Raw genomic sequence first — 26,240 nt, 5'->3', positions numbered from 1 at the left:
GAGCTCACAGGTAAGTCACTGATACCACCATCACCACAGTTAAGTCAACGATGCCAGCATCACACAGTGTCCCGCTGGGATGGATGTGTGCTGTCACCCCAGGTGCCCTGTCTCTGGCCCATCTCCACTCACCTGGGCCCTGCAGGTGCTCTGCTCCTAACTGGACAGTATGGCCCATCCTCAAACCCAAGAAAAAAAACACCATACGCTGCATCTTCCTAAAGGTTGTTTTATTGTAAAACCATAAATACAACACTGACATGAAATCATTTAAGCAACTGATCCTCTCTAACTGTTAAAAGTTATCTTTTTGCCTTGGCATCAACCAACTGGGAAATAGTGCTGCAAGAATTCGGGGGGCAGGGGAGGTACTGAATCCCGGGCTGGGGCTTTTGGCGACTTAAAGAACCGAGTGGAACCTTCCTCTTCTCCCTGGGAATGTTCCACTTTTGGACAAGAACAGACAGGTAAAAACAGCAACATTAAACAGCTCAGTTTTAAATTTTATTACTTTGTAAAAATCTTTTTTTCTGTTCCTTTCCTCCATTTGACATCAGTAAATGTTTTGAACATCATGAAACTGATTTGGCTGTAAATGGAGAAACGGCACCAAAACAAAGTGAAACAAAAACCCAAAGGACAAACAGAAAACCCTAAATAAACCCTCAAGTTTGGTCTCGGGGGTTTACATATCACAAGAACCGTCAACTCAACCCCCATGCAATGTGACTCCCTGGAGAGCTGTTGGATCCACACCGATACAGGAGACCGCACACAACATCTTTTGTTAATTAACACAGCAAGTGTGACAATAGGTAACTTTTTTTTTTTTTAAATACAGTACATGGTACACAGGGTCCCCAAGATGGCCCTGCCTAAACCCCTCGTGAAGACTTGAGCCAAGCACCGGCTGTTTATAAAAATATTGTGTTGCTACAAAAGTATAAATTAATGCTACCGGTATTAAGAAATATTAAACACATAAAACTTATAAGGATTAAGAAAAATATTCATTAATACCTGTAGAAAACTCTGGCCTAAAAAAGATATTTTTTTTGTGTTTGTTTTTTTGTAAATTTTTTTTGTATTTTTTTTTTTTTAAGATGACTTGAGTTTCTTGCACTCAAAGAGAGAGACACAGTCAGATGTGTCTATGGTATTGCCTAGAACGTCTTAACTACTGAGAAAGGATGCGGGGGTGCACGCACGTGGTTACTGAGTGGGGGGTGGGGAGGAGGGCACCAAGGCTTTCTCAAGATTTACCTGATGTGAACGACTCACTGGCGTGAAGTTGTGGGGAAAAGAAAAAGGCAGGATCAGAAAACAACTGAAAATAATTTACGCTTCTTAAAAAATATCTCTGCTTCGGGTGGTTGTACAAAATGATTTCCTGATGCTTGGGATCTGAATGGCCCTGGACGAGCTGCCTGGGCCAGCCCTGCCGTGCGGCCCTCGCTCTCTCCTGGCTGGCGAGGCCCAGCCCCGGGTCAGTCCATGAGCTCGTTTCACCGCGTAGGATGCCGCCCACCCTGGCTGGGCGGGAGGGAAGGTCCTAGGCGGAGACCGGCTGGCACCTGGGTTATGGCAGGAGCCCCTCCTTCCGGCTGGTCTCAGACCTCATCATCTGTGCCAACCTGGAATTCAGGAAGCGCCACAGGAATCCCAGGCCCCTGAGGTTGCGGACAAGGCTGGGCTGTGCCCCTTTAAGGAATTTTGGTTTGAAGAGTCAAGGTGCCCCATGGGACGCACGGTTGGGCAGGGCCCTCGTGGGTCGTGATGCTAACACCCAAATGCAAACCTAGCAAATCCTTCTCTGTACAAGAATTGACTCTTTAAAGCGACACCCGTGGTGGGTGGGCGGGGGGGTGGGGGGGGAAGGGACGGGGCATGAATATGTCAAACAGTGACCTGACAATCTTCACCCTCATTAAAGTGGGAGTGGGCGCCTCTTCCACAGAAACCACTGGGCTCCTTTGGTGAAAGCCAGGGCTCCCCCGACCACAATCCTCAAACCCAAATGAGAGAGGAAGAAAAGCAACTACTACAACAAAATCCCCCAGAAAACCCTGAAAAGGCAAAACCAGGAGGGGAACGTTAAGAGGGAAAACACTGTATCATTGGTTCACCATAACTGGCCTAGCAAACATTAGCCACAGTGAAAGGGAGGGGCTTCCTCCTTCCCAGTTCTTCCACTGGCCCAGCTGGACACGGGGGCTGGAGCAGGGCTGGCGGGGACAGGAGCTCCCACCTACTACTGGCTCCACGGGATAGCCGGACCTTACTTAGTCTCTTGTTCTGTCTAAATCATCGGCCTTGTTAGGAGCCCTCCTTAAGATGCATCCCAGAGATAGAGGCATTGCCGCTGTTGCCAAGGCGAGGGCAAAGCTATGAACTTCGGGCGGCTCACTGGGACACCTCCTCTTCCAGCATATCCATCGTGATGACAAGATGAGGGGAGTGTCCCCAATGGAGCCATCTCACAGGCTGTTCCAGCCACATCCCATCTTCATTTCAAACCTTCCCAATGACCCTGTGGCCCCCAGAGAGCATGTGCTATATTCCTAACATCTCTCCAGAAGCCCACTCTTCAAGGAGTCCAGCTCAAGTCCAGGGGAAGCAGGTGGCCTTGCTCAAATATAGGGGACTCCTAAAGGCAGAGGTTCAGCTTCAGTGGAAACACGCCTTGTAGATTTTTTCTCTGGTGTTTCTTTAAAAGTGCAGGAGATAAAGGGTCAAACTGAAAGAGATGTCTCTTCCCAGCCTGCACACCTGGTGGCTTCCTTGAATCCTGGAGACTCACAGCTTCTCATCTGTGTCACTGCACTGCTCTCCTGTCCTTGCCAGGAAACCCTGGTACCCTTTTTCCAGCCAAAAACCAATCCTCAGATGTCAAGTGTGAAGCTGCCAAGCAGGATGGTGGCAAAGCTTCCTCACTGGTGATGCGGCAGGTGGCCTCTGTGCAGCGAACCTCCAGAGATGAAGTGCAGGCAGTTTTGCTCAGGTGGCATGTGTTTTGTTTCCTGGTTACTAAATGCCATTAGAGGGAGGCCTGGCTGGCTGAGCCAGGAATCGGGAAGTGGAGAACTGTGCCAGAACAAAGGCATCCACCCGTGGCCCAGATGGTACCAATGCTCTTGGTGGACCTGAGATTCCTTGGGCTACTCCACTCCGAGGGACAACCCTCAACGCTGCAGTTCTTGGCTTGGGCTTTGTTGGTGAAGCAACTGACCTCAGATGAGGGAGAAAAACTTGCCAGGTGGAGGTGTGTTTTCTTCACCTCCCCTTTTGGGTCCATGTATGTCAAAACAAAGGCCATTTCTGTCCTGGGGACCACATGGCTCAAGGTGAGTAGTCTCCACATCAGCAGGCCACCACCTTAGGCTGCTGAGAATATGGTAGAAACGGCCCAAATTCCTGGTCCCAGATCCCCCAAAGGCTTGTGATGGAAAGACCTACAGTGGACCCAGAACTGGGAGGCAGACGACAAAATCCTTCCAGATGTGAAGGTCAGGCTGGACACCAGGAGATGAACTGGAAGAGCCTGTCTCAATCCTTTGGCTGAACTAGAATTTGGTGAGGTGGATATTGTTGGAGATAAAGGGGCCAGTGGCTGGACCTGTGAGATCTTTGGGTTTTATTAAGCTGTTAGTTGCAGCAGGATTTGCACTCTGAGAACAGCCTGTCTGAGAAGAGGGCACCTTGGTACAGCCTTTCCTGTTGGTGACACCAGTTTCCGGAGGGAACCAGAGGTTGCAAGAAACAATCATCTGCTATCTTGTTATCTAACTGGACAAGGCAGCCCCAGAGGACAGCTTTCTGAGTACCCAGTGGCATTCACATCAAACCTGCAGAGGCAAGCCAACCCCTAAGTATTGAATTGAGGTGGAAAAGAAGTGAAAGGGAGGTAACAACCTAAGATCAAATCTCTTCCTGGAGGACAGACATCCCATGCTTCAAAGAGAAGAATGCTGAGTGCTCTAAATGCACATCTGGGCTTAGTCCGATGGCTTTCCAAGAAAGTGAAATGCCTATTTTCTAATCAACTGGCCCAATAATGGGGCATCACCAGCACAACTTTGCTCCAAGTAGAGGGAGGATGGGCTCCCAGGCTCTGCTCTCACCTACCACACAAAGTAGGCAGCTCCTATCCTTGTGTGGGTCAAAGTGCCGGTCACTGTCCCTTCCCCAGCAGTCAAGCAACGCTAGAGGGACCTTTTGCTGTAGCATCTGTCAATCATCAGTGATGCTGAGGCCACCTTCCAGAATGCCTCCAAAGGCCCAACTGACATCATAAAGTCTGCTGATGTTTCTTCCCATATTCCCTAGGAAGTGACATGAGGTTCCTGTCTGGATTTCTCCCTGTTCCTGCTCCAGTGTGGATGGCGGCTCTTCTCTGATAAGTGGGCTCAGTCCCCCAGTTGGAAATGTTGTGGAGGTAATACCTAGAACTTCTCCAGGAGAGGAAATGGCATGGTAGTTCCTGAGACCACAGTTTGCTGGAGCAAATGTGGAAATGGCCCACTTTGATCCATTTCAGTGTGTCCAAGTTTCAAGGGGAGAGCTGGGTGAGTTCTCATGAGGCAAAGTGTGCAGGCTTGGCCCCCAAACACTATGTTCCAGGTCCATGATCCTAAGCCTTCATGAGGTTTGCAATCAACTTTACTCCCTGCTCCTGTCATGGACCCAGGGGGAGAGGGCTGTGGTACAGTGCTTTTTGTAGTCGAGGTATCTCACAGTTGAGTGATGCTTTATTATTGGGAAGGGGTGGAGTTGACTTAGCCAACCCCAGGATGACAGAAGGTGCCTTTGCAAACAGCCTCCCGCCATGATGGCCATTCTCAGCTTGAAGCCTTAGTGTAACCACCCCATCCCACGGCTAAGGGTCACCAGGGGAGTGAGACCACCAGCACTTCATTCACTGAGAGGTGTGGTGGGGGTGGAGTGCTGATTTGTGACAGAACCGCCTCTTGTGAAGGGAATGGGGTGTCACCCTTGGCATCCGAACTGTGTGTGTAGAACCTAATTTGCTCACAGCTGGGGGAACAGGAGAGAAAAGCCTGAAGACATCTTTCACAGCATCGAGTCGAACATGGCCAAACACCATCCCACCCTCGGAACATCAACTGTTGGGGCCACAAGGCACCATGCTCACTGCCGTCCTGGAAGTCGGAGGTGTGAGTGAGGACCCCGAGGGCTGTGGGCAGCAGAGCTCCTGGAAGCCTCAGGGTCCTGGGAAGTGAGGAGAGGCTGTGGCAGGTCTGAGGTGTGGTGGATGTGACTATGGGCTGACTTCGGAGTCGCTGTGGACTGCCAGGGTCCGGGAGGGGGTGAGTAGTGTGATGCACACTGGGTACCACGCACAGCGGACCAGGAGGGCAGCTCTGGCGCTTACATTCAGAACTCCCAAACCACTGCTTCCCCTACGGCCACCAAACCCCGCAGCTGTGGAACCCGTGAATCCTCCCCAACGCCTGGTCTCCAAATAGCACAGCCAAGAACCTGGTCTTGGCCGTTCGAATATGTGAAAACTGAACTGTACAGGGAAGGCCAAGAAAGACTGTAGGATACTGAGTACACCACAGAGATGAGCTAGTTTACAGTGTGACTTGAGGAACAAAAGGGGCAAGTAAAAAAACAAAACTCCAAAACATAAGTTATAGACATTCAGTGCCTCCTAGCAGAGTCTAAATCAAATCTGAAGAAACAAAATGAACCCCCAAACAAGGTAAAAATTGCTAAAATGTTAGGGAGAGAAATTATTAGGGAGTGGAGACAGTATCTATACTTCTCTGAAAAATGTCTTTTTCTCCTCTCTTATATTAAAAAGCAAAATGTCAGCTTTATACTCTTTAAGTCTCCTTTCCTGATTTGGGGAGATAGATAGGTGTGTTTCTAAGGCGGCTGCCCCGGGACACCCAAGGGGTATCTCAAAGGCAGCAGCTCAATGCCCTGAAGGTGAACAAGAAACAAAGTCCAGTGCAGAAACCGTCCATCTGATGCAGTGTGGAGAGTCCACAGCAGAGCAGCCGAGTGTGTGGGGGGGTGCACAATGGGATCAGGAGGGTAGGAGGGCTGGAAGAGGGTCAAAGAGGGAAAAGGAGGACCGGGGTGAAGGACAGAGAGCGTCAAGTCACTTCAGATCTCAGCTGCCTGAACATTTCACAACATCAGCTTTCTGCCAATCTGCACACCTGAAAGCGGAGTCTTCTAAAGCCCCCTTACTGAGAAAAGGAGGTGAAACATCTCCCTCTTTCCCAATCGCTCAGCTTTCCTGACACGCCCAGTTCAATGCACACCCGTCCAAGCACAGGCGTATGTACACGCACCAGGGTCGTGTGTGTGTGTGTGTGTGTGTGTGTGTGTGTGCGTGTGTGCAAAGTTTCTCTGGCCATGGAGATGAGCACAGAGACCCCCCCACACCCCCACAACCACAGCACGTGTTCAGACACGTGCACACACGTGTGGCTGTGTACATACACGCACACACACACATATAAAAAAAGCACTTAAGTTTCCAGGGGGCATTTATAATGAGGTCCACAGTGTTTAGAACTTAAATTCCTTTTCTTTGTGACAGTGTTGTGTGGTTTTTTTCTAATGTTATCTTCTCTTTTTCTTTTTTTTTCCCCCGAAGTCAAGTCTTAAAGCATGTTGGATTTCAGAAACATGAGTTTATTCATATCTTCTGGACTGAGCAGCCGCCTCCGTTTGATTAGAAGCGCTTGTTCACACATATTTACACACCCGCTTCTGGCGCCCACGGCCGGAACCGCCAGGAGCCAGAAGGCGAGCTTGGCGAGTTTTGTGTGCTTTTGGGTAACGCACGACCAGTACTGGAAGAGATCAGGGGTAGCCTGGAAGAGGGGCTCCTGCAGGTAATCGTACACTTCATTTTTGCCTAGCCGATCATCTTCCTGAGCTGCGGGGTTCTCGACGGCAGCAGAGCGGGGCTTCTTGGCAGCGGGCTCGAAGTCGGCCTCCTCGGCCCAGGACTCCTTCACCTCGTTGATGAGCTCACAGACCTTGCCGATGATCTCCTCGTGCTGGTAGGGTGGCACAGGCCGCAGCTTCTGCTGCGGGTCCAGGATCATGGCCACCTTGTGGGCCGGGTGCACCTTGAAGTTCTCCTTGAGCGCCTCCAGGAAGAGGTGGCAGAGCTTGCTGACAGTGCCTGCGTCGTTGGCCTTGGCCGTGAACAGCTTCTCCAGCCTGACGTAGGTGGGCAGCACCAGCTGCAGGGTGGGCTGGCTCTCGTTGCTCAGCTCGATGACTGCCTGCTTCACCGGCGTCAGGATGGCCGCCAGGTTGCTGAGCAGGTGCTTGTTGAGGCTCTGGATGAGGTTCATCTTCTTGGCCCGGCTGTAGAACTCGCAGATCTGCTCATAGCGCTCATGCACCAGCAACAGTGAGTCCGTCACCGAGTTCCAGCAGGGTGGTGGAGACGTCTCCTCCAGCGACCCGAAGGTCTCCTTGGCCAGGCCCGTGGAGCCCGCCAGGTCCTCGCACACGTTGAGCAGCTCGATGACCTCGTGCATGCTGCGGGCCTGCAGTGTCCGCTTGCTCAGCACGCTCTGCACCACCGAGTTCAAGGCACAGGCTGAGCAGCGAAGGCACATGCCGGCCTTGGAGAAGGCGGACGTGCTCACCCGGCAATCCGTCACGTACACTGTCCTGATCTCCGACATCACGAACTCCGACAGCACGTTCTGCACCCAGTGGTGCACAAGGTCACCGCTGTCGCGAATGTCCGCACCCTTCACACCAAGCACATAGCTCTTGATGTGGTTGCCCTCGGCCTGGTAGGCTGTGAGGATGTAGCAGGAGTCAGGGCCAACACTCTGGGAGTGGCAGGTGACACCGATGCCTAGGCAGGCATTGCTGCCCAAGGCACAGGTCACTTTCACCTTCACCTGGTTGTACATGCGTGGCAGGTGCTTCAGCGCCAGCGTGTTGAAGTTGCCCAGGATTTCAGTGACCGAGAAGGCCCCATAGCGGGCACCACTGTCTACTAAGGTCTGGGCCAACTTCAGGAACTCCTTCCCGCTGACCACGCTCAGTGCACCCAGGTCGGCACACATGACCCTCAACAGCCGCTCTGCGATGTTCTGCCGCTCCTTTTCGGGGATCATGCTGTTGGGTGTTAAACCACTGGTAGTGGCTGGCAGAGGACACAAAGACAGATGGGATTAATTCTGGCATTCAAGGCTGCTTGGAGTGGCAGTAGCCTAACACTCTAAACATCTAGTATTGGGAATGGCAAATATATTTCCTCTTGCACACACATGGGTGGTGCTGGCTGCCTTTAATATATGATGGTCTCACAGGGATAAAGTTCTATGATTGATTAGTAAGGCCTGCCATGAGCATGGGAATAGAATGTAGTGGTATGTATGCAACATAATTGCGGTCTATGTCATTCCCCTAGATCTTTGAAGCCAACTAGTCTAATTTCTTCCTCAATACAGGAATCTCCTCTAATATGGGAATCTTCAGGAAATAAGATACATGGGATCATCATGTCAGGAAAGAGCAACCAGCAGAAATTGTGGAGAGGTGGGTTCTAGTTCTGATTCTGCCACAAATTGGTGCTTTCTGACCACAAAAAAAGTCACCTCCTCTCCCTGGGCCTCCTTCTGCCCATCCCCTGAGTTAAGAACTCCTGCAAATAAGGTCTTAGGTGTAAAAGTGCTTTGGAAACTATCATGCATCATCTTACAACATCACAGGAAGCACAAATGGTGGGAATGGGGGGCAGAGAGGAACAACTGGAGCATAAGGGGACCCTCAGGTCCAGCCCTGCTTGGGGAGACCTACTGTTATTGGCACTGTTCCTCTGGGCCTGAGGTTTCCACTTCTCTTCTACAACAGCAGGTGGCGATCGGGACTGGTTGGAGGCAATGTTGTTTTCATTGTCAGCTGTGGGCACAAAGGGGACAGTGTGTTACCTGGAAGGGTAAGAGGCCTGTTGAGGAACGAGATGAGAACTAGAGTGTGGTGGGTAACAGCAGAATGTGGCCATTGGGACTCAGGCCTGGGTTAAAATCCTGGCTCCTCCTTAGACAACTATCTATGCTTGCAAAGCCTCATTTTCATCATTTAGAAAAACTAAGGTAATCATATGGACATTACACTATTGCTGGTAAGACTAACAAGAGCTAATCCAGGAAGAGCTGAGCACAGTGTGTGGTATGGAGCAAACTCTCTGGAAATGGGAAGCACTGGATCCCAAGCCTGGCTGGGAACCCCACACCTACTCCCTGCACACAACCACAGAGTTCTAGCTGATATGGAGGGAAGGGAGGGAGTACCAGCTACACCCCCCAAGTGGCCAAAAACTCCTCATACTCTCTCACTTTCGCAAAGTTTGCATTTTTTAAGTATATTTACTAGAAATTTTATGAAATGAACAAAACAAAACCAAAGCCATGTGTGACACAAAGTACCAAATTATCAAACCCCTCACTGTAAGACATGGAAACTGAAGCTCGGATATAAGAAAAGATTTGCCCAAGATCACAGAGAAAACAGCAGCAGGGCTGGACATAATCCCAGGTTCCCAGTTCCTGGATGTGTCCTCCACATACTTCTCTAGTTTTTTGTTAATTGCACATATGCAGTGGTATCCAGTTATAAGTAATTGGTATATGCCTATTCTCCTGGATGCATGGTTACTCCTTGACATGTTTATGGGATCATTTCTAAATAGGAAATGGTCTGAGTCACATTCTTGTCACTACCCATGGCCACATGCACTTCTATCATATACGATATATCACAGCTTGCTTAACCACACTCCCAAGTCCTAGGTTTCTGGCTCTGCTGTTTTCAATATTACTGTTCTGCTATGAACCTGGCTGCCTAATTGTGATCCTGTGATGTAATAATCCAGCAACATAGATAAAGGATTCCATACCATGACCAAGTGGGATTTACTCCAGGAATATAGTTGATTAAACATACACAAATAAATGTAATACACCACGCTAATAGAGTAAAAGACAAAAATCACATGGTCATCTCAATAGATGCGGAAAAAGCATTTGACAAAATCTAACACCTTTTTCATGATAAAAACACTCAATAAACTAGGAATCGAAGGGAAGTTTTCCAACCTAATAAAGAGCATCTACCAGAACCCCCACAGCGAACATCATGCTTAATGATGAAACACTGAAAGCTTTCTCCCTAAGATCAGGAACAAGGTAAGAATGTTCACTCTCACTCTCATTTCTTCTATTCAACATGTAGAGTCATGTTGGACATATATTCTGAGAAATGTGTTGTTAGGAGATTTTGTCATTGTGCAAACATCATAAAGTGTACTTACACAAACCTAGATGGTATATCCTATTATACACCTAGGCTATACGGTATAGCCTACTGCTTCTAGGCTACAAACCTGTACAGTGCGTTACTGTACTGAATACTTCAGGCAACTGTACCACAATGGTAAATATTTGTGTATCTGAACATAAAAAAGGTATAGTAAAGATAGGATATTATAGTTTTATGGGACCACTGTCATATATGCAGTCCATCATGTACATCATGTGGTGCATGACTGTATTAGAAGTTCTAGCTAGACGATTAGGTAAAAAAAGAAAAACATCCAGATTGGAATGGAAGAAGTAAAATGATCTCTAACTGCAGATGACATGATTGTGTATATAGAAAATCTTATGGAATCCACATACATACAAAACAATTAGAAGTAATAAATTCAGCGAGGGTGCAGGATACAAGATCAATATATAAAACAAAATGGCATTTTTCCATACTAGTGATAAACATTCCAAAAGTTAAGAAAACAATTCCATTTATAATAGCTTTGAAAATAATTACTTACCATTAAATTTTAAAGTGTAAGAATTAAACACTGAAAACTAAAAACACTGTTGAAAGAACTCAAATAAGACCTAAGTAAATGAAAAGATATTCCATGTTCATGGACTGGAAGACTTACTGTTAAAATATTAAGTCTTTCAGTCCATGAACATGGAATGTCCCAACTCATCTAGATTAAACACAATCCTTATCAAAATCCATATTGTTGTTGTTTTTCTGCAAAAACTGACAAGCTGATCCTGAAATTCATATGGAAATGCAAGAGATACAGAATAGCCAAAACAATTTAGAAAAAGGACAACGTTGGAGGAATATACTTCCTGATTTCCAAACTACTACAAAGCTATAGTAATTAAGACAGTGTAATACTGGCACAGGACGGACATATAGATCAAAGGAATACAACTGGAAATATAGAAATAAGCACCTACATTTATGGTCAACTGAGTTTTGACAAGGTTATCAGGACAATTCAATGGGGGAAAATAATAGTCTTTTCAACAAATGGTGCTGGGACAACTAGATACCCACATGTAAAAGAATGAAATTGGACTCCCGCCTCACACACATATAAAAATAAACTCAAAATGGAATACAGACCTAAACGTAAGAGCTAAAAGTATAAAATTCTTAGAGTTTTATAAGGAAACATATGAACTGATTAAGTCTTTGTGAACTTGGGTTAGGCAGTGGTTTCCTGACACCACTGCCTGGATATGACACCAAAAGCACAGAAAAAAATAGATGAATGGACTTCAAAATTAAAAACTTTCATACTTTGAAGGACATCAAGAAAGTAAAAAGACAACCGACAGAATGGGAAAGATATTTGCAAATAATCTATCTATAGGGATCTTGTATCTAGAGTATATAAAGAACTCTCACAACTCAATCATAAAAGGATCCAAAAAAAACCAATTAAAAATGGGCAAAGGCTGTTCACTGATGATATGATTATATACCTAGAAAACCCTAAAGACTTGTCCAAAAAGCTCCTAGAACTGATTAATGAATTCAGTAAAGTTTCAGGATACAAAATCAATGTACACAAATCAGTAGCACTGCTATACATCAACAGTGACCAAGCTGAGAACTAAATCAAGAATTCAACCCCTTTTACAAAAGTTGCCAAAAAACTGCCCCACCAAAAAAACAAAAACAAAAAAACAAACAAAAAAAACAACTTAGGAATATGCTTAATTAAGGAGGTGAAAGACCTCTACAGGGAAAACTGCAAAACGCTGCTGAAAGAAATCATAGATGACACAAACAAATGGAAACACATCCCGTGCTCATGGATGGGTAGAATCAATATTGTGAAAATGACCATACTGCCAACAGCATCTACAAATTCAATGCGATTCCCATCAAAACAACATCATTATTCTTCACAGAACTAGAAAAAACAATCCTAAAATTTATATGGTACCAAAAAAGAGCTTGCATAGCCAAAGCAAAGCTAAGAAAAAAGAACAAATCTGGGGGCAACACATTACCGGACTTCGAACTATACTACAAGGCTATATTCACCAAAATAGCATAGTACTGGCATAAAAATAGGCACATAGACCAATAGAACAGACTAGAGAATCCAGAAATAAACCCAAATACAGCCAAATGATCTTCAACAAAGCAAACAAAAACATAAAGTGGGGAAAGGACACCCTATTCAACAAATGGTGCGGGATAATTGGCTAGCCACATGTGGAAGAATAAAACTGGATCCTCATCTCTCACCTTACACAAAAAATCAACTCAAGATGGATCAAAGACTTAAATCTAAGGCCTGAAACCATAAAAATTCTAGAAGATAACATCAGAAAAACACTTCTAGACATTAGCTTAGGCAAAGAACTCATGACCAAGAACACCAAAGCAAATGCACCAAAAACAAAGAGATAGATGGGACTTAAACACAAAAGCTTCAGCACAGCAAAAGAAATAATCAGCAGAGTAAACAGATAACCCATAGAGTGGGATAAAATCTTTGCAAACTATGCATCTGACAAAGGACTAATATCCAGAATCTATGAAGAACTCAAACAAATCAGCAAGAACAAAATAAACAATCCCATCAAAAAGTGGCCTAAGGACATGAATAGACAAATCTCAAAAGAAGATATACAAATGACCAACAAACATATGAAAAAATGCTCAACATCACTAATGATCAGGGAAATGCAAATCAAAGCCACAGTGCCATACCACCTTACTCCTGCAAGAATGGCCATAATTTAAAAATCAAAAAATAATAGATGTTGGCATGGATGTGGTGGAAAGGGAATACTTTTACACTGCTGGTGGGAATGTGAACTAGCACAACCACTATGGAAAACAGCGTGGAGGTTCCTTAAAGACCTAAAAGTAGATCTACCACTTGATCCAGCAATCCCATTACTAGGTATATCTTTCTTTGGAGAAATGTCTATTCAGATCCTTTGCCAATGTGGTCAATGAGCACATGAACAGATGCTCAACATTATTAGCTGTCAGAAAAATGTAAATCAAAACCACAATGAAATGCCATTTCACATGCACTAGGATGGCTATTACCAAGAAGGAAGATGATAAAAGGTGTAGACAGGGATATGGAGAAATTAGAATCCTCATACACTGTTGGTAGAAATGTAAAAATGATGCAGCCACTTTAGGAAACAATCTGGCAATTCCTCACAGGATTAAACAGAATTACCTTACAGCTCAGAATCTCCACTTCCAGGTATATACCCAAAAGAGTTAAAAACATGTGTCTACACATATACATGACTTGTACATGAATGTTCATAGCAGCGTTATTCATAATAGCCCCGAACTGGAGATCTAAATGACCATCAGTTGGTGAATGGATAAACAAATTGTGATATATCTAGATAATGAAATACAACTCAGCAAAATAAAGGAATTATTGATAACACAGAACATGGACAAACCTCAAAAGTATGTTAAGTGAAAGAAGTTAGACACAAGAGGCTAAATACCGTAGAACTCCATATATAATAAAATCCACTAAAGGCAAAACTACAATGAAAGAAAGCAGGTGTTACCTGCCAGTGGCTAGGGTAGGAGAAAGGGAATGACTGCAAAGGGGCATGAAGGAACTTTCTGGGTTGATGGTAATATTATTTTTATATTTTAGAGATAGGGTCTTGCTCTGTCGCCCAGGCTGGAGTGCAGTGGCACCATCATAGCTCACTGCAGCCTCAACCTCCCAGGCTCAAGTGATCCTCCACCTGAGCCTCCTAAGTAGCTGGGACTACAGGGGCGTGCTACCATGCATGGCTTATTTTTAATTTTTTTGTAGAGACAGAGTATTGCTGTGGTGACCAGGGCTGGTCTCAAACTCCTGGCCTCAAACAATCCTCCTGCCTCAGCTTCCCAAAGTGTTGGGATTACAGGTGTGAACCACTGCACCTGCTCTAAATTTTTTTAATTTTAATTTTATTTTTTTAGACACAGGGTCATGCTATGTTGTCCCTGTCCAGGGACTGGTCTCAAATTCCTGGCCTCAAGCAATCCTCCCTCCTTAGCTTCCCAAAGTGTTGGGATTACAGGCATGAGCCACCAAGCCCAGCCACTGTTATGTATTTTTATTGTGATGGTAGTTAAACAACAGCACACATTTGTCCAAACCAATCAAACTGTACTCTTCAAATTGGTAAATTTTATTTGTCTAGTAAATTATATCTCTGTAAGTCATATTTTAAAATAAACTGTAAAGAAACCTATTAAGTTGGTAACAGCGATTAGCTTTGAATAGTGAAATTATGGTCGATTCTTTACTTTCTAACCTCTCTGCATTTTCCCAATGCAGAGAATGCATTTATTTTCATAGACAGACTTTACATTCACAAAGGGGAAACACAATTTCCAATGAAAACAAATAGCCTTGGTATTTCTAGGAATCCAACTTACAAGGGATGTGAAGGACCTCTTCAAGGAGAACTACAAATCACTGCTCAAGGAAATAAAAGAGGATACAAACAAATGGAAGAACATTCCATGCTCATGGATAGGAAGAATCAATATTGTGAAAATGGCCATACTGCCCAAAGTAATTTATAGATTCAATGCCATCCCCATCAAGCTACCGATGACTTTCTTCACAGAATTGGAAAAAACTACTTTAAAGTTTATATAGAACCAAAAAAGAGCCCGCATTGCCAAGACAATCCTAAGGCAAAAGAACAAAGCTGGAGGCCTCACACTACCTGACTTCAAACTATACTACAAGGCTACAGTAACCAAAACAGCATGGTACTGGCACCAAAACAGAGATATAGACCAATGGAACAGAACAGAGCCCTCAGAAATAATACCACACATCTACAACCATCCGATCTTTGACAAACCTGACAAAAACAAGAAATGGGGAAAGGATTCCCTATTTAATAAATGGTGCTGGGAAAACTGGCTAGCCATATGTAGAAAGCTGAAACTGGATCCCTTCCTTACACCTTATACAAAAATTAATTCAAGATGGGTTAAAGACTTAAATGTTAGACCTAAAACTATAAAAACCCTAGAAGGAAACCTAGGCAATACCATTCAGGACATAGGCATGGGCAAGGACTTCATGTCTAAAACACCAAAAGCAATGGCAACAAAAGCCAAAATTGACAAATGGCATCTAATTAAACTAAAGAGCTTCTGCACAGCAAAAGAAACTACCATCAGAGTGAATAGGCAACCTACAGAATGGGAGAAAATTTTTGCAATCTACTCATCTGACGAAGGGCTAATATCCAGAATCTACAAAGAACTCAAACAAACTTACAAGAAAAAAAACAACCCCATCAAAAAGGGGGCGAAGGATATGAACAGACACTTCTCAAAAGAAGACATTTATGCAACCAACAGACACATGAAAAAATGCTCATCATCACTGGCCATCAGAGAAATGCAAATCAAAACCACAATGAGATACCATCTCACACCAGTTAGAATGGCAATTATTAAAAAGTCAGGAAACAACAGGTGCTGGAGAGGATGTGGAGAAATAGGAACACTTTTACACTGTTGGTGGGACTGTAAACTAGTTCAACCATTGTGGAAGACAGTGTGGCGATTCCTCAAGGATCTAGAACTAGAAACACCATTTGACCCAGCCATCCCATTACTGGGTATATACCCAAAGGATTATAAATCATGCTGCTATAAAGACACATGCACACGTATGTTTATTGCGGCACTATTCACAATAGCAAAGACTTGGAACCAACCCAAATGTCCATCAATGATAGACTGGATTAAGAAAATGTGGCACATATACACCATGGAATACTATGCAGCCATAAAAAAGGATGAGTTCATGTCCTTTGTAGGGACATGGATGAAGCTGGAAACCATCATTCTCAGCAAACTATCACAAAGACAAAAAACCAAACACCGCATGTTCTCACTCATAGGTGGGAATTGAACAATGAGAACACTTGGACACAGGAAGGGGAACATCACACACCGGGGCCGGTTGTGGGGTGGGGGGAGGATAGCATTAGGAGATATACCTAATGTAAATGACGAGTTAATGGGTGCAGCACACCAACCTGGCACATGTATACATATGTAACAAACCTGCATGTTGTGCACGTGTACCCTAGAACTTAAAGTACAATAAAAAAAAAAAAAAGAAAGAAAACAAGTAGCCTTTCTTACTTTCTCTACTACAGTACAGAGATGTGAAAACCCTGGATATGAACCCAGTTCTGCGATGGTGTGACACTGAATTGGCTACTTCAACTCTCTGGGTCTCAGTTTTCTCTCTTCCATCCAAAGTGCTAGGGCAGGGTAAGCTGCAGGAATGATTCTTATTCTCTGCCCTTCCATAGGACTTAGAATTGAGATTCTTCAACTTGTATTAAATAACAATGTATAATATTGGTTGATTTAAGACTTTTTCTTCTCCATATGCCACAGGTACCACTCCCAATACAAATGAGTTAAAAGCTCTGTGAAAGGCTTGATTTATAGCTTGAGATGAAAATAAGGTTTCCTCGGTGTGGCTATCCTGTGTGTCCTCCCCCCTCCCCCACATGTACATTTGTAAAGGGCTGGATGCGAAGCTGGAATAAAGGTTGCTTCCCAGAGAGAGACCACTGCAGGCAGGAGAAAGCAGGTATTTCTGACAGGGATGGAAAAAGAGGCATCTGCTGTTGTTGGGTCTTAGAATGTGCCATGGCCCTTGATACTCTACATCCGTCATCTCTGGAACCCTCAACCCAGCCCTGCTGAGAATACCAATAAACCCACTTCACAGACAGAAAAACTGAGGTCCAGGGAGGTAAAGTGGCTCAAAGGGGTTAGAAACCAGGTGTGGTGCTAGGCATGGTGGCTCACGCCTGTAATCCCAGCACTTTGCGGGGCTGAGGTGGGCGGATCACTTGAGGCCAGGAGTTCAAGGCCAGCCTGGCCAACGTGGTGAAACCCTGTCTCTACTAAAAGTACAAAACTTAGCTGAGCATGGTGGTGTATGCCTGTAATCCCAGCTACTAGGGAGGCTGAGGCACAAGAATCGCTTGAGCCCAGAAGGTGGAAGTTGCAGGTATACAGCTGAGATTGTGCCACTGCACTCCAGCCTGGGCGACAGATCGAGACTCTGTCTCAAAGGAAAAAAAAAAAAAAAAAAACAAACAAGAAAGAAAGAAAGAAACCAGGTGTGGTCACCTCCAAAATCCTAAACCCATGAGCTGCCAGCTTGCTTGCTGTCTGGAAAGTCTCCCAATCCCTCTTAGCTGCGGTCCTCCTGGCTGTACTTTAACGCGGAGGCTGAAAGAGATGACCTCTGAGAGGGCTTCCATCTCTGCTAACCTTCCATCAGGGTCTACCTGAGGCTGCACAGGGTGGATGTTGAGAGCATGGGCTCTGGAGTTCACTGCGAGAACTGGAATCCTATCTATAGCCTGCCACAGTGACTGCATAGCCTTGGACAAGTTACTTAACCAGTTTGTGCCTCCGTTTCGTTAGCTATGAAGTGGAACTGTTATGGGCACTTAACTCTGAGGGTTGTTCCGAGAATTAAATAAGTGAATATATGTAAAAGTCTTAGAACAAGGCCTGGCGCCACGTAAAAGCTCAAATGCTATTGGATACTTTTTTTAGGAGCTGTGCAACTTTGGGCCAGTGATTATGTTCTCTGAGCCTCGGTTTCATCATCTGCATAATGGGGATGAAAACGTCAACTACCTAATCAGGAAGATCTGATGAAATAACCTGCGTAAAGCTCTCAGTGCCACAAGTGACGCATAGAAAGCACTCACAAAATTGTAGCTATCTTTGGTATTATTACTGCCAAAGCATGCTTCTCCAACGTCACCAAGGCACGCCAGGTTTTCCTACAGCACAGAAAGGAAGTTTATTAGCGGGAATTACCCTGTGCCATTCAGCAGCTCCATAATGAGATTGGTGTTATTCAAGGCTGATCCTCCTTATCGTCGGCGCTGTGAACTGCGCAGCTCATGATGCTTAATTTCTCTCTATGGAGCCAAGCCTTTAATCCCGATTCAGTGTGGCTGGGATTCAGCCTGGCTTTGCGCTGGATGGCCGGCCAGGCATTCTCTGGCTGCGCTGAACCAGAACAAAGCAGCCCACGGCTCCACTCCGAAAACAAGTCAAGATGCTTGGGAGAGGTGGGGCCACCTCAAAGCTCAGACCTGATTTGCATTTTAATGGCCTCCAGGGATGGGAAAGCACTGGCACCCAGGCTCTTCCCTAATCACAGCTCAGCTTCCAGAAGCTGGCAGGGCGCAGGCAGAGTGCCGAGGATTCAGAGGAGGAGTGCAGAAGGCTGTGCTGTGGGAGTCTCAGGACCAAGCGATATGTTCAGGCAGTGGTTCCCAAGCAGCCTGCCAACTGCTGTCCCTAGCCCGAGGATCCTGCTTCCCCATGGGGTCTAAACACCTTGAGCTGGCATTCAAGGCCTTCCCTGGTGAGGCACAGCTGACAGCAAAGGAAAGCAGGGGGCGGGAAGCGTGGTGTGGGGAAGGGGATTTTCAGGCCCTTGCTTTAGAGATGGAGACACAGCTTCCTGCAGGAGGTCACACAGCACCCAGACACACCAGTTAGAGCAGGTCTCCGAGGCAAGTGCCTTGGCTGCCACTCCAGAGCTCTGTCCTGATTTTAAGTTCATTAGAAATAAATAATAGGCTCCCCAAAAAGATCATCTGATTTCATGCCTAATATACAGCAGATACCCAATTAATATATGCTGGATGGATGAATGAATGATAGAGACTACGCTAACAGAACAGTACTTAGCCTAAAAGAGATTCTAGTCCTGTAATACTCTATGCCAGTCAGGCCAGACCTGGGAGATGATGTGAAAGATTTGTACAATAACAATAACAGGTGAAATAACAGCAGCTACCAATTACTGAGCACCATTATGTCAGGCACGTCTCACCCATTATTTCTAATGCCTCTAGAGAATTCCTCTGGGGAAAGGGGTGGAGGGACAGCTAACTGCCTCCCCAGACTCACGTTTCCCTTTGCAGAGTGGCCAACTGTCCCGGGACAGTGGCTCTGGACACGCTTCCACCCATGGGTTCAGGCTGGTCATGTGGCTAATTCTCCACACTGGAATTTGAGCATTTACAGGTGTCACTTGTGGTCTGAAATGGTAAAGAAGTGTGCTTGCCCCATAGTCTCTCTCCCCATCCACAAAGAGAGAGGATGCTGAAGATCTAGAGGAGGACGGAGCCAATAGAAAAAAGAGCCTTGATCCCTGAATCACCATGTGGAAGCCACCCAACTAGATCATGTGCATTGGGCTATAATGTGGGTGAGAAGTAAATGGTCTGTATGTTTAACCACTGAGAATTTGGAATTATTTACTTATTCCAGCACATACTGTCTCCCTGAGACTTGTGTTATGCCGTGGTGAAATGTAATAAAAAGGCTGCCTAGAGAGCAGATGACTGCACCTGTAGCTCTAGAGCAGTGGTTCTCAAAGGGCGGTCCCTGAACCAGTAGCATCAGCACTGTCTTAAGACTTACCAGAAATGCAAATCCTAGTCCCCACCTCTGCAGACCTACAGAATCAGAAATTCACAATGGAGCCTAGAAATCTGTGCTCAAGCAAGCCCTCCTGGTAATTCTGATGTGTCCTCAGGTTTGGGCGCAACTGCATTCTGGGACATAGGGTGTTAGTGAATGAGACTCTGCTCTGAGGTGGGCCTTAGCCCAGCTTGCCTTGGGCTGCATGTCTCTCCATCCCCACCTTCTGTCTCTGCTCACCTTGATCTCAAACCATGTTCCATTTCCACCTGCACATTTCGCTTCCAGGCTAGCTCCTACTTGGCCTTTAGGACCAGCCAAGAGGCCACCACCTCCAGGAAGTCTCTTCAACTCTGTCCCACCTCTCCGTGTTCCCACAGAGCCTGTGCTGCCTCCCCACCGCCCCCACCTGCAGAGCACAGACCAGCCTGTGTTAATAACTGACTGACTGGGGCTCCCTGCAAGCAGGTTCCATGTCCTGTGACCATTTTCCAGGAAAGAGCGGCCTTCTCCAGGGGCCTCAGGTCAGGCCCTAACCATCTCTTCAATTTGCAGGAACTGAGGAAGGAGAGGGGGAGAGAAGCCGTATCCTACTTACCTGCATGGGACTGCATGTGCTCCAACAGGTTGTTGTAGAACTGGAACTGGATCCCACAGGCGCCGCAGGTGTAGGGTTCTGGAGGGAGAAATGCGGCAGCCACGTGAGGGGTGGAACCGACGCAGACACCTTCTGCTGGGCTGCAGGCAGCTTTGCAAGTGGGAACCCAAACACACACCGGGTCTCTGTGCTCAGGGCTCCGGGCCCAGCCTGCCTGCCTCCCCCGTCACTAGACCCATGAGGGAGAAGCTGGGTGAAGGAATGATGGAGAGAGGAAGCCATGCAGAGAGAGACCATTAGCTCAATTGAGCAGCTATTTATTGAGTGCTTACTGCGTGCCAGCCACTGTTCGGCGCACTTGAGATGGGGGTAGGGAGGACAACATCAACATCAACAGACCAACGGCCCTCTTGGGGCAGAGACTGAGTCTCAGGGTGTCACAGCCCCAGCTCTCTCTCTGGAACCACATGAGGTCACTATTTGCCAAGTGAACAAATGAATGAATGTATGAATGAATAAAAACCAAGGTAACAGACATAAGGAAAACAAGAAGGAAAAGGGTAAGAAGTGGAAAAAGCCACAGAGAAGCAGGAGGAAGTGGGGATCTGATGCGGAAAGGGAGGAGAGGGAGGGAGGAGTGAGGGAGGGCACGCGTAGGAACAGGCACAAGGGGTGCAGGGGCCTGGATCACTCAGCTCTCTACTCTTAGCACTCACGTCAGTGCCTGGCAGAGAAGAGGGAGGAGGAGAGAAGGAAGAGGGAGAAGGACAGAAGGAAGAGGAAAAAGAAAGAGGGGTGGGAAGAAGAGCAAGGAAAAGAAGAAAAAGACGGCTGCGATGGGGCTCGGAAGAGGTGTCCTGAGGCTGCCCGACGACCGTGAATGGGAAGGCCTGAGCTCCTGCCAGGGCTGGGGCAGCAGAGCCAAGGCTGCTGCTGGTCAGGGCTCTGCCCCACCCCGTCCAAACTGCTCCACCCGCCCAGGGCTGGACCTCGGCCTGCCTCCACCAGCTGCCGGGTCTGCCCGGGAGGGCAGCCCAAGGCCCATCTCACACAGCCTGGAGGCTCCAGGAGCACGTGGCTGGCTGAGTTCCTTCCCTGCCCTGCCTTGCCCTCTCCAGCCCCCCAACGGGACCATCACTTACTCTGTAGGAGAGGGAAAGGGTTGGAAATCAGGGGACTTGCAGTTTCTGCAAAAGAGAAACAGTTTAGCCATCTCTTCTAGTTCTGCTGTTCTGTGCTGATAGTCATAATTTTTATTCTTAATAACCAGTGAGCCAGATGGGGCTTTCAGAGGAGTGGGGAGCATCCGAGAGGAAGGCTCACAATCTGGGGTGGGGTTGCAGGGAGGCTTGACACAGAGGCCATGCCTTTCAGAGGATCAAGGTTTACTGTGGGTGCTGGGGCCACCAGGCAGGGCAAGACAAGTCACTGCCATCCCTCCGGGACACCCTACACTCTGAAAGAGTGAGGACACATGAGTACTGGTGAGAAGACATCCTTGCATGGCAGCTCACTTCAGGACAGGGAGCTGGCAGCTACTTCTAGGTTCTGGCACCAGGGTGGGGATGTTTGGTACCAAACACCAGAGCAGCCACCAAGAGCGGCTGTGCTTTGGAGGGCTCCTGCTGGCTGGCATCTCTCCCTCACTTCCTGGCACTGCCAGAGGTTGGCAAGCCTCAAACGCAGCAGGCAGCACAGCGGGGCCAGATGGTCTAGATGGGGAATCCTGGCTCCACCACTTATAATCTGGGGGACCTAGGGCAGCAATCCACCTCTCCTGAGCCTCAGTTTCCCACTCCAAAAAGTGGGGATAACAATAACATTGACCCCCATGGGGCTGTGGAAAGGAGGAAGACAGATAAGACATATAAAGCTCTGAACACATGCCAGGCACACAGTAAGCGCTCAATCAATGGTGGCTGCCAACAGCAGCAGCAGCAGCAGCAGTGCTTGCGCTATCGTTCCCGATTGTGAATATTAGCTCTGGGGGCAGGGGACGCATGGGGGTGCAGCATGGCTTGGCTGGGAGCACAGGGCACATCTGGAGACCTCGGTTCCAGCCCGGCGCTACTACTTATTCCTGTGTGGCCTTGGGCAAGTCACTCCATCCCTTTCAGGCCCACCTCTTGGAGAGGTTGGGTGGATTACGTTGTTCAAAACCTCATTCCCTTCCGCAAAGCAGTCATCAAATCACTTGGTTTACTTAAAAAATAAAAATGACCAACTATCACCACCAAAAAACCCTAACACCTGAGTATGTAATCTGTGCCAGGGACTCACTGAATGTTCACAACCACCACGGGGCTGTGTGTGTTCATCAAGCCACTTTACAGCAGAGGAGGAATTCAGAGACTAGCCTAAGTCACCAGCTAGTAAGTGGTGGAGCTGGGGTTCATATGTGAGTAACAGCCCGAAGTGGAGCTCCTGTTACTAGGCAGATGCCTCCACACTCAAGTCTGCGCTCCTGGCTGTCTCAGAGGGTCCCCGACAGTTGTGATGTGTTCGTCACCTGTCCACACCCAGGCAGTAGTGCCCAGCCCAGTGCCTGGCACAGGCTGACACCTAATATGTAGTGAATTAAATTTCAACCATGCAAGAAAGTGAGTGGGTGCCTTCCCCTAATGTAACCACAATGTGAGAATTCCTCTCCCCTCCTGCCCTGCCTCTCAGGGTACAGAACAGCTTGCTGTGCCCTGCTCGGACAGAGGCTGCTGGTGACCAGCCAGGCACCCCCCAGGCTGACCCCGGGTCTGGTGGGAGAGGCCCCTTGGCTGCTGCTCTGGACATTCTAGGGCTCTGCCGCGGTCCTGGAAGAGGCAGGCGTCAGGGGGCGCCAGAGACCACCTAGAGCCTCAGTTTAAACCCACTTGAGCAGGTAGGGGCTGGAAGGGAATCTTCGTTCCAGTGGCTCCAGGGCCAAAATGAGACCAGAACTTGGAGCCTCTGGCTCTCACAGCTCTCTCTCTCTCTCTCTCTCTCTCTCTCTCTTTTTGAGACAGAGTCTCGCTCTGTCACCCAGGCTGGAGTGCAGTGGTGCAATCTTGGCTCATTCCAACCTCTGCCTCCTGGGTTCAAGTGATTCTCCTGCCTCAGCCTCCTGAGTAACTGGGACTACAGCTACTGTATTTTTAGTAGAGATGGGATTTCACCATGTTGGCCAGGTTGGTCTCGAACTCCTGACCTCAAGTGACCCACCCACCTTGGCCTCCCAAAGTGCTGGGATTACAGGTGTGAGCCACGGCGCCCGGCCTCTTAGAGCTCTCTCAACTGCACTTCCTTTGCTTCTCCTGTAAAGAAACTGGCTGAGACATCTACCCTAAAAACATAGCAGTGGCTCTCTCAGGCCCAATCATCTGGGGTCAGCTGAGTTGATGCCGCAGGCTATGGGGAGGGGTGTTGCTCTCTCCATGGGGGAGACAGAGAGGAGGCATTGTCCACTGATGCCCAAGGCTCAGAGGAATGTCCCTGGAAGAAAAGGCCCCTCCTGCCTCTGTGGTCTCCCTCTAATTCCCTGCTCCCAGCCTCCTCCCAACAAGATCCATAATGCACCACAAAGACCCCAGCCCACAGGATGCTGCCGCGGCTGCCAGGGGGGAGCGGGCGAAGCTGGCAGCTACCGCACAGGATGGCTGTCAAGGGGCACACTCACCGCTGGAGTTCTGCGAACTGCTGTTCGTCTCTTCAAAGTGGTTTTGTGCTTTGCCTTCTACTCTCCGACTGAAAGCGCTTTCTGCTGGGTGGGGGACAGGAGAGAGAAAGAAAACAATGGTGATTGGTCAGCACTAGGTCTCAAGGGAGGGGTAGGCTGGGTGAAGGCCAAGGACTCTGCTGGGCCAACTAGCTCTCGTGAGGGCTCCAGGACCTCAAGCCAGATCTCCCCAGGACCCTCTGAGTGGCCTAGTCCCTTGGCAGGGCCCCAAGAGACCCTCCTGGCAGGGCCCAGGAGGCCCAGGCACGGGGGCCGGGGGAGTGACATGCCCAAAAACACAAAGATGAAATCCAGCAGGAGAGCAGATGGCAAATGGGCCTGAGTCTCCCATCTTTGGCTCCTGGAGAGCCACAACCGTGACAGCAAATCATTGGATCTACCGCCCACCACTCCCTGTCAGATTCTGCTGCCACGGGCCCCACCGAAGTGCATAGATGATGACAGCATGTTTTCTGGTGATTCCAGCTCCATCAGCTAGGTGGTCCCTGGTGACAGGGAGGGTATCCTGCAACAGATGGCGTGACAGGGAGAGCAGGGGTAGCCCCACACCCCCAGAGGCCAAACCCAGGCAAAGTCTGGTCAGTTGTTCCCCCAGCGGAAGGGATGGGTTCCCCCTGAGTGACTACTGGGGTGTCTCTGCTTACAGGCTGCCATCTACCTGAGGGGCCCACCCTCTTCCAAGTGCTCTCTGGAAACCCTGCAATGCAGAGATAGGGTCCAACCAGGTGGAAAACCATGAATTTTTATCCCCCACCCCCACCTGCAGAAGGTATTGAAACAGATGATCCGAGCTGGAAGACAGCCCAGCTTTTCCAAGGTGCTCTAGGCATGAGGGGGATGCCGGACGATCCCAGAGATAAAGACCTCAGGGAACCAGTCAATTTGGGATGTGCAGCTGACCCAGTGCATTTCTTAAGGAGAAACAATTTGCCCAAAGATATCAAAGGCTCCGCAAAGTCTGCCCGCAAACAGACCCATTTAGATTTACTTAACCTGGCCTTCCCCAAACATAAGAGGGGTTCCCACAGAACCCCATTTTTAAAACATTAGATTCTGAAATATCTCACAAAATTGGTGATCTTGAGAATGCACTTTGGGAAATGCCACTCTCACCTGGTCCACCCTGCTCCGGAAGAGCAAGTGCTTAGTTTGTGGGTGCCAGGGTTGCGGATGGTCATGGGGACAATGGGAAAGGAAGCCAGAGGCAGTGCCTGCAGACCCTGCCCAATTCCCACCTCCCCCCGACCCCTGTCATCCCACTGTAACAACGTCTCCTGACACAGGCTCCTTCCTGCAGAGGCTGCAGCTAACATTACAAGGACAACCCTCCCTTCAAAATGTGCCTGTGAAATGCCTGGGCTGAGAGTCCCAGGGAGCATCTACAAATTGGCACAGAAGGCCCCTCTGTTCTCGGTCTAGGGAAAGGGGTGGGGGTGGGGGGCTCTCATTCGCTGAGCACCTCCTATGTACCAGGCACTGGACCAGATACTTTACATCCAAGTTCCCTCTAATTCTCCCAAAAGCCCTGTGAGGGCTGCACTGTCATTCCCATTTCACAGGTGAAAAAACAGAGGAAAGAGTGAGATTGTCAAGTTACTGGGGTTGGATGTACTCCTAACCCTCCAAGACGGCAGAATCAGACTTCACTTTAGGGGGAGGTGCTTCCTTTTGAAAAAGGCCTTGTGTGGAGAAGTGACTGCCTACTCCATCTTCATCCTTGTGTACGTTGGGTGACTGGTACTCATCTATGGAGGACTTCTGACCAGCATGCTGGTAAACTTACCACAATTGAGGCTGCAAACTCTTACACTGCTCAGCTGATAATGCACATTTTGAATAGCTTTCCTTGCCACAAGTACCTCTGGCTGAAAAATCAACATGCAGCACCAGAGGTGAAATCCCATACAGGGACGTGCCCATACACACATGAAGGGCCACTTATTCCAGGACCAGGAGGTGACTGACAGTTTCTTCCTCAACCACATACTATCTTATCTCCCATGCAGGCTCCTGCTCCCAACCGGATGCCCTCTGACCTGCTCAGCTGGTGAATCCAGAGGTGACCCCTACCCACAAGTCTTCCAAGGCACATGAAGGCAG

At 47.8% G+C, this 26,240-nt stretch overlaps 1 protein-coding gene across 50 annotated transcripts in view; it reads right to left on the bottom strand.

The window, feature by feature from the left end:
* Positions 1–215: 215 nt before the first annotated feature.
* The window catches only part of ZNF618 (zinc finger protein 618), a 180,285-nt gene continuing 154,260 nt past the window's right edge, over positions 216–26,240 (bottom strand). For 14 of the 50 annotated variants that reach the window (XM_017014242.3, XM_047422732.1, NM_001318042.2 and 11 more), the window contains 4 exons: positions 24,081–24,164; positions 20,432–20,509; positions 8,815–8,916; positions 216–8,158 (listed from right to left, as the gene is read on the bottom strand). In XM_017014242.3, coding sequence (XP_016869731.1) covers positions 6,642–8,158; positions 8,815–8,916; positions 20,432–20,509; positions 24,081–24,164 — 1,781 coding nt within the window. In that variant the 3' untranslated portion in view covers positions 216–6,641. Of the gene's footprint in view, positions 8,159–8,814; positions 8,917–20,431; positions 20,510–21,573; positions 21,619–24,080; positions 24,165–26,240 lie in introns of all 50 variants that reach the window. The other 36 variants (XM_005251692.4, XM_017014248.3, XM_011518201.3 and 33 more) reach the window with 3 other exon arrangements.

The sequence above is a fragment of the Homo sapiens genome, chromosome 9 (genome assembly GCF_000001405.40).
Source record: "Homo sapiens chromosome 9, GRCh38.p14 Primary Assembly".
Lineage (NCBI taxonomy): Eukaryota > Metazoa > Chordata > Mammalia > Primates > Hominidae > Homo > Homo sapiens.
This window is presented reverse-complemented; position numbering and strand designations above follow the sequence as displayed.